This window comes from Homo sapiens, chromosome 6, assembly GCF_000001405.40.
Source record: "Homo sapiens chromosome 6, GRCh38.p14 Primary Assembly".
NCBI classification, from domain to species: domain Eukaryota; kingdom Metazoa; phylum Chordata; class Mammalia; order Primates; family Hominidae; genus Homo; species Homo sapiens.
Genome location: NC_000006.12, coordinates 166,866,507 through 166,875,934, shown reverse-complemented (window position 1 = coordinate 166,875,934; position 9,428 = coordinate 166,866,507). Strand labels below are relative to the sequence as shown.

At 44.0% G+C, this 9,428-nt stretch overlaps 1 annotated feature.

Annotated features, from left to right (window-relative positions):
• Positions 3,108–3,308: a silencer, noted in NCBI's record as "peak6317 fragment used in MPRA reporter construct". NCBI's record gives its function as "represses an SCP1 promoter by STARR-seq MPRAs in K562 erythroleukemia cells {active_cell/tissue: K562}" and the evidence as "EXISTENCE:reporter gene assay evidence [ECO:0000049][PMID:32103011]".

Here is a 9,428-nt window from a genome sequence, read left to right as displayed (position 1 = left end):
CCCAATTACTGATTTCTCAATTTTGAAAATAAATTTTGGACAGATGGTTCATTAAAAAGTAGTAGAAAACATCAAAAGTATACAGACACATAATGAAATATACGGATAATGCTTAGATTTCATGTTTTTAAAAAAGACTGCCTCCTCCCAAATCAGTAGAAAGGTAAGTTTTTGTTTCTAAGCAAAAAGGAAAGGGAAGATTTTATAAATATATTCACATTGATGAAGATGTATATTTGTCCACTTATTTCAAATCTTATATTACATAAGTTATCAAAAAGTGATTGTTGCAAACCTTTATGTTACTTTGGAATATTAATTACACTCTTTACATTTTATGTAGACATATCTATTAGTCAATTTTTTGAAATTTATTCCTTTTTTTATGCTTAAAATGTTATTTTCAAACCAAGTCAGATAAATATTCACCTTTTTTTCTTCTTGCTATGATTTCACATTTTTTACAATATAGAGTTTATCCCTAATTTTATGTATTTGGGAAATAAGATTTTAAACTAATTTTTTTTCCAAATGGCCAATATCCCCCACAACACAACACTCATAAAAATTCTGTCACTTTGTAATTTGTGTACAGTATTTTTCTACCACATTTTAAGTCCATATATATTTACCCTAGTTACGAGTTGAACTGTTCTTTCCCATTGATCTATGTGTATTTGTTCTGCTCCCACTCCACTTTCATCTGTGTGCCTTTAAAGTTTCTATAAATATTACACCTGGCAGCGCAGGTGTTGTTCCTGGTATTCTTATCCTTTTCATTCTTGTTTAGTTTTAAACTCTTGCTTATTTTCTTAAGTCATAAATCACAGTTTGATTTGATTATAGCCACAATGAAATTCAGATTAATTTTAGTAGAATACACATGTTTAAACTTTTCAGTTTTCCTAGCCAGAAATGTGGCATCTCTTAATTTATTTGGGTCAGTAAGTCAATCCTTTAATACTCCCCAATAAGCTTTCATAATAAAAGATCAAAATGGAAAATATGTTTGAGTTGGGAAGATCTTTCAGGTCACTTTTTAAAAATCACTCGCAGAAGCAAAGCTCATTTTTCCTATTTGTAAGAGGACCCTCTGTTAAAACATACTTTACTGTATTTTAGGGTGTTTTTTTTTTATTTTATGAGGTAAAAAATGCTCATAATCATTTACCAAGGAAGGTCGCATTTGGGGGCTTGTCCTAAGCATAGGGCAAAAGCCTTATGCACAGAGATGTTAACTGAAACAAAAATATTCCCCTATGAGGAATGATTCCATGCATGAAGATATGTCAATAGAATGGAATCTTACACAGAAATGTAATTTTGAGGGCTGTTATAACATTGGAAAACATTTTCACTAGGCTATGTTTTAAAAGATGGGAAACATTTTTAAGATGCTGTTACAAGACAGTATGTTCCCTGCAGGCATTTCTTCCCTGTAGTTCCTGCTCCTCTGGATTTGCTCACCCTTCACCAGCCACGTTCACCCCCTGCTGTTCCTTGCACCTGCCAGGTGTCCCCCTCCCATGCCTCGGACTCTTGTGCTTGCTGCCAGGACTGCTCTTCCGCCCGACACCACAACCAAGTCCCCTGCCTGGCCTGGAGTCCTCGCTGATGTCATCTCAGTGAGCGCTTCCCTGGCCGCTCCAGCTAAGGTCCCACCCCTGCCCGACATGCTCCATCCACCTTCTCTGCCCACCTCAGGACACACTGTCCAGTACTTCTTTTTTTTTTTTTTTTTCTTGCTTTCCTCCAACTAAAACGGAACCCGGGCAAAGATTTTTGTCTGTTTTGTCCAGACCAGGTGCAAAGGAACCTGGGCATATGAACGGTCTGTGAAATGAAAATGTACAGAAGTTATAAATACTAGGGAACCATGGACATTATTTTATTAATTTCGTTTTAGCTATATTAGCTTGTCAGTCATTATGAAAAAGAGCTATCTTGCTAGAAGCAGCCCTGCCCATCTATTTCCTTTACCTATAGGGTAACTACAGATAAGAAAAACCTGGCTGGCGTGATAGGGGTTGCCTGAAAGAGGCTGCAGTTCTGACCATTTGTTGGGCAGTCTCAGGAGCATCAGGGAAGGACCTACTTCCCTTGGCTGAGATTTAGGAGGTGGATGAGTCTCGCCGTTTGGGCAGTGGAGAGAGCCCTCCATAGCCACGTCTGTCAGCCCTCACTTCGCTTGTGCTGGAGGAATCTCTGGTTTCAGGTGAGTTGTCTTTGTCTCTGGCACAATGCTGGTCTAGTGCATGTTTGTATTCATGCCTTCCAAGGTCTGGGGGCTTTGTGCTCATGAGGGGAGGGGGAAAGGCTGACGCAGAAGAGGGGAGGTCAGAGTTCCCCAAGTCCTGGGGCTCACATGTGTCACGTGGGCCTCCATGGAAATGTTCCTGGCCAGACTCATGCTGACCACCCACTCCACCCCACTGTGCCCCACTCCCAAGAGGAGGGGTGACTGACGGGCATCCCATCTCACTCCAGCCATGTCCCCAGATCTGCTCTATCAGATAAGCAATGCACACGATCCAGAGATTTAAAAAATTACATATATTCATGGATATTTATAGCACTTCCTTTTCCTCTAGCTTTTCAAAAGTTCATTAGAAAATATTTTTTAAGAAGGGCAAAGATTTATATTGATGGGGGATCAGCATCTGACAATGCAGAGAAACTTCCACAAGCTCCAATCAGAATTCATCTATTTTTACTGAAGCAGAAGGAAAAAGTATCTCAGCTGACAGCAGTGCCATCTAAAAGGCTGCGGTAATCAGCTGTGGGGCAGAAAAACATCCACATCACGAGACAAGACTGTTTTTAAAGAAAATCAAGCCAGATTTTTAAAAAATGCTGGATGAAATAAACAAATCAGAAGGCTATTTAGCTTGTTTTAAATAGCCAAGACTTCAGTATTTTTCTAGGAAAGGAATCCAGGTTTCTGAGAACACGTGCTGCAATGGAATGCTGCGGAAAAGCCTGACTGCTGCTGCTCCTGCGTCGGGCTCCAGGTGGACCCCACTTACAGGAGCCCGCCCAGGGAGGAGGTGAGAGGCTGGCCTGAAGAACCACACCCATTATAAAAGTTCCATTGTGGATACTGCATGCTAAGAATCAGATACAAGAGCTGAAAAGAATTGCAAAAAGGAACTTTCCCTCATTATCAAGGGTGTTCAGGCTTGCCTGGTTCACATGTATTTTTATTATCCAAGAAACTCATGAGGCTTGATTGCCGCATCCTCACGTTCAAGGCAAGGCCAACTCCCCGGCCATGGTCCATTGTGTCTCCTTTCGCTTCCTTGTAGGTAGGACACTCAGCCCATAAATGAAGGTATACAGGAACTGTTCATTTCTTTTCTTTAAATCAAATTTAGCCTGAGAGGAATCTTGATCATCTTTAGCCTCCTGGAGCGCCTTAGGAGGTTTCCCACCCAAAATTGTTCAATGGCCGCACAGCACGGGGCCCACACTGGTCACTCACTGCCCCTGCTTACCAGCTCCCTCCAGCCCAGCTGCTTCTTGGCCCATGCCCTTCTCCCAGGCTGGGGAGTCTCATGTGGAAGCTTGGAGTGGGTTAGGAGTGAATGGGATGTATGGAAGGCAAGGGAGGCCTCTGCTGAGGTGTGAGCATCCGCCGCAGAGCCACTGCCCACTCCAGCCTGGGCCAGGAGCTTGTACAGGGGCCACTCTGCAGGCTGCATGCCTCCCACCAAGGTGTAGAGAGGGGTCCCCTGGGGACTTGGTAGAGAACCAGAAAGGGCTTTTCCGAACACTTCCTCAGCAAGAGAAGTGCAATCCACTTAACTAAATTCTGTGGGGTATGAGGGGGTGGGTGGGAGAAGTATTAGAAAAAAATAAAGGGTTCCTTTATAACAAGTAATATATCATTACAAGAAATACTTCTTACTTTATTCCCTAAATTAGTATAAGAATTCAAGGTTAGGTTGAACTATTGTCAAGAAATACTAATATTAAAGAGACATTTTAAAAAATGTTCTCCTGCCGCGCACGGTGGCTCACGCCTGTAATCCCAGCACTTGGGGAGGCCGAGGTGGGAGGATCACAAGATCAGGAGTTCGAGACCAGCCTGACCAACATGGTGAAACCCCGTCTCTGCTAAAAATACAAAAATTAGCCAGGTGTGGTGGCACGTGCCTGTAATCCCAGCTACAGGGGAGACTCAGGCAGGAGAATTACTTGAACCCAGGAGGCAGAGGTTGGAGGTTGCAGTGAGCCAAGATCTCGCCACTGCCCTCTAGCCTGGGAGACAGAGCCAGACTCCTTCTCAAAAAAAAAAAGTCCTGCTATGAAATTTCTTTACCAGTGTTCTTGTTAATATAATCCATGTTCATCTTGTAGAATTTTCATTTAAAACTAGAAAAAAAAAAGTCACTCTTCTGCCCCGTAACAGTTTGACAAAACGAATTATCACTGCATTCGTACTGGGAAGTCAGTTCCTCTGGGTCTTATCCACTGTGTTTATGGCCTACCTCTACCCCGGGAGCGGAGGGCTTCCAACCCTTCAAAGCCTCCAACATTCCTTTGTTTGGCAGAATCTTGTCCAAAGACTGAATGTGGACTAAGCCCTCTGCTTGGCCCTGTTGAGACATCAGGAACTCACAGGAGCCCTCCCCATCTCAAGACGCCCCCATGGGTTGTGGTCACTGCAACACTTTCTTTTGTTTGGATGATTGAAGAACTCAGTCAAAAGGGCTAGTGAGGACTGGAAAATTCTGTAATTTAATTTTTTTTTCAGGAAATCAATGGGTTATCCTTACACACATGTACAGACACACACAGATACACACATCGTTTTGCTGATTCTTTAAAAAATTCCCTCAGCAACTAATCAGTTGTCATTTATCAAGCACCTAATGTGCGTTCAGCCCTGCACAGCGTGGTCAGCGCCGCACAGCTTGTTCTCTGGGGTTTATCAATGCTCCGCTTTATGTTGAGAAACGTAAGCACAGTTCTCAGCACACCGCGGGGCACCTTCCACCCTCTGACTGGGCGCAGCCTGTCGTTTGGTTCACAGCTAGTGCGACTCTGGCCAGGCTGGTCTTTGAGACGGCCCTTCCTCATTGCCGTACCGACGCCTGGCGTCCAGCCCCCGGAGGACCTCTCTCTGGCTCTGTCTGCTTCTGTGGTGACCTGATCTTCCACGCCTGTGCTTTCTGACTCACCTCTTCATAGAAGGAATTTTAACGCCCCTTTGAGATCAAACAGGACAGGTGAAGATAAAATACTGGGTTTGTTGTTAGTGGCAGTCTTTTAGTTTTGCTGGTTTATTATCCTAAGGATTTCCTTCCATGACTTTGCTTTTATAATTCTTTCCACATCTCAAAAACGGAGGCAGAAACAGTTATTCCGGTAATTTTTACTGTTCTAGTCATTCTTTAAGCTAAATACTTCAGGAAAAAAAAAGTTCTCTTGCACAGCTGTGTGCCAAGTTTGGCTAGTTCATTCTATTCTGACATTTTCCTGACAAGGTAAGCAAGCATGAATTTAAAAAAAAAATGTAGAAATTAAAGTTGACAGCATGAAAAAAGCCAGCCTGTGCCAGCAGAAGGACCAAAGCAGGGCTTTCGGGGCCTGTAGTTTAGACATATTCTTGCAATTGGAAACTTAACATTTCACATTGGAAGCTCTCCTGTCTTCCATTCTTCTCCTCAGAAGCCTAGTTCAGTGGTGGCATCAGGTGACACACCATATCTCAAACTTCACCTTTTATTAAAGAGAATTTTATGCCACTATAGTTATTATTCCTTTTTTTTGTTTGCTTGAGCTGGAGTTTCGCTCTTGTTGCCTTGGCTCACTGCAACCTCTGCCTCCTGGGTTCAAGCGATTCTCCTGCCTAAGCCTCCCGAGTAGCTGGGATTACAGGCGCCCGCCACCATGCCTGGCTAATTTTTGTATTTTCACTGGAAACTGAGTTTCACCGTGTTGGCCAGGTTGGTCTCGAACTCCTGACCTCAGGTGATTCGCCTGCCTCAGCCTCCCAAAATGTTGGGATTACAGGCATGAGCCACTGCCCCCGGCCTAGTTATTATTCTTATCTGTGACCTTCAACTACCTGAAGTAGTTGAGTATACTTCAACTACTTTCACCAGGAGTAGAACATCAATTCCACAGATTAACCAGAAGATTCCTATACATACTGTTTTTACTGATAATTTATATTTTGAGACAGCAGCTACTGTAGTTTTGAGAATTTGCTAAGTCCCATTGGTGCCTATGTTTAATTTTTAACTCCTAATACCAGCCTCCAAGAGGAGTTGTTCCAGTTCCCTCCCCAAGTCCAGTAAACACAGAGCCATCCTCTTAAAGTCACTCTTTCCACCCTTTAGTCATTTTTATATACTTGTTTCTTGCTGTGGTCCACTCTTAACCAGGTAACGCATGTTGCCCATTATTATAATGCAACAAGCACATCAGTCAAACCTGCATGCTACTGCTGCGGGCTGCTTCACCCTACCCTTCACTTCTCCTCGAAGCCAGTTGTTCTGTCTCTACAGCTTCCATAGACTTCACACCGGGTTTTTTAAAAGGCATTTTCCATATTCAGATCACAGATGCTAATATACATATTTTTGTTTTCAAAAGTACTTGAGTTGGTTCAATAGAACATAATTGTTTTCAAAGTCTTGAAATATATTTGTTTTGCTTTAAAAATCTTCCTTGAAGGCTGTATTAGTCAGGGTTCTCTAGAGGGACAGAACTAATGGAATATATATATATATATATTATTCGGGACACCCCCAAGTCTCCCTATATGTTGTGAAGGCTTCCCATCTCTAGAGTATAAATGCAACACGAGGAAAATGCCTATCGGTTTTAGTTGCATGAATCTCATACTTAAGAACGTGCCGGCTGGGCACCGTGACTCACGCCTGTAATCCCAGCCTGTAATCATATATATATATAAAATAAAGGGGAGTTTATTAGGTATTAACTCACCCGATCACAAGGTCCCACCATCTGCAGGCTGAGGAGCAAGGAGAGCCAGTCCAAGTTCCAAAACTGAAGAACTTGGAATCTGATGTTCGAGGGCAGGAAGCATCCAGCACAGGAGAAAGATGGAGGCTGGGAGGCTAGGCCGGTCTAGTTTTTTCATGATTTTCTGCCTGCTTTATATTCTAGCCACGCTGGCAGCTGATTAGATGGTGCCCACCCAGATTAAGGGTGGGTCTGCCTGTCCCAGCCCACTGACTCAAATGTTCATCTCCTTTGGCAACACCCTAGGATCAATACCAACACACACACCTAGGATCAATACTTTGCAACCTTCAATCCAATCAAGTTGACAGTGTTAACCATTACAATGGCCATCTTTGCTCACATGAATTCCAGTGGTATATATGATGCCAAGATCTTTCAGGTGAGGTATGGCATGGGGGAAATGGCATGTGCCCAATCTTCCAGATCCTGGCTGCTCATAGTATATTCGTTGACTTTTTATATGATTAGGCTTATGAAAACTGAAATAAATTTTAGAACCAATATGTCTGGCTTGAGGCTAAATTAAATAAATCCCTACGAATTGCTTAATTGACAATTATTGCGTAGTATGGTAAGTCAGTGAAGAGTGCAGCTTTGGTCTTACCATTTCTGCAGGACCAGCAAGCCAGAGGGACTCCCAACCAGGAAGGCTGGTTAGCACTAGGTTGTTTTTTAAATACGACTGTGGTAACTCCTGGGTAATGTTACATGTGGACAAATAAGATGGGTGACTTGAGAAGGAAATGCAGGTGTTTCAGCATTTTCACTTCTCTCTGTTTTTTGTGTGTGCTTGTATGTGTGTGTGCATTTTTTTTCTTTCTTTTTTTTTTTTTTTTTTTTGAGGTGGAGTCTTACTCTGTCACCAGGCTGGAGTGCAGTGGCGCTATCTCAGCTCACTTCAATCTCTGGCTCCCGGGTTCAAGCGATTCTCCTGCCTCTGCCTCCCTGGGATTACAGGCACCCACCACCACACCCAGCTAATGTTTATATTTTTAGTAGAGATGGGATGTCACTATGTTGGCCAGGATGGTCTCGTCAATCTCTTGACCTCATGATCCGCCCACCTCGGCCTCCCAAACTGCTGGGATTACAGGCGTGAGCCACCACGCCCGGCCTGCACTTTCTTAAGTATGAAATTCATGCAACTAAAATGAGTAAGCATTTGCCTGGTGTTGTATTTATACTCTAAAGTTGGGAAGCCTTCACAACATGTAGGAAGACTTGGGGGGCGTCCCGAGAATCTGGGCAGTCCAGATCACAATGACTTTTCCTACCAGTGAGATGAAAAGCTTAGTTGGGAAGACTGCAAAGCAATAGCTCCTTTTTACAAATGTTCTCCTAGCTTATAATTTATTTTTCATAATAGAGGCTGTTTACTCTGTACTCAGCCTTTTTTTCTTCCTTGTGAATAATTTCTTTTGAAAACAAGCTGCTGTTACGGTTCTGAGTGTCACGACGCTGCTGGGCTGGAAATGAGGCTTTGAGGGCGTCCTGCCAAGGCGGCTGGCCTGGGCCCCAGGCACCTTAATGCCTTTCGGGACCAAGCTGCCGGCTGCCAGTATATAAAGTGGCTTCTGTGAGCCTCTGTGCACCTTGGAAGCTAAGCCATTTGCAGCTGAAATGATGTCCCTCTTGCCCTGACTGGTCCCTGTGGAGAAAAGGTGTCAGTGAAGATCTCTATGCGCCGGGTTTCTCTTGGAGTTCGGGTTCTGGTCACGACAGAGCTGTGGCCTTAGGGCACTGTTGGATTTGCTGTTGTGTGCTCACCTCATCCCCCAGCTGGTATGTTAGTCGGCTTCCGTGCTGCCATCACAAAGTATCACCAGCTGAGTGGCCAAAACAACAGAATATGATTGCCTCCCAGTTCTGAAGGCCCAAAGTCTGAGGTCAAGGTGTGAGCAGGGTCGCACGCCCCCTGAAGGTGTCCGGAAGGGGTCTGTGCGGGCTCTTTCTCAGCTTCTGGGAGAGCTCCCAGTTCCTCAGCTCGTGGCAGCAGAGCTCCAGCGTCCCAGTGCTGTTCTGCTGTGTGCATGTCTGTGTTCAAATCTCCCCATTTTATGAGATCACATAAAGCCCACTCCACTCCAGCATGACCTCACCTTAACCAGCTACTTCTGCAGGGACCCTGCTTCCATGGAAGGTCACATTTGGAGGTAGTGGGAGTTAGGGCCTCCACACAGGAATCTGGGAGGTAGAGGGACATGGCCCAGCCCGTGACAATGGGTCACATGCATTTTTGTTAAAATTTAAATAAATTTGGTTTTAAGTTTTTTGGAGAATTTTGTGAAACTCCGGAGAGTGAAAATACCAAAGCTGGTGACCATGTCACTGGAAATTAGTAACTGTTGTTTTTTTTTGAGACAGAGTCTTGCTCTGTCACCCAGGCTGGATAGCAGTGGCACAATGGCACAATCATGGCTCACTGCAGC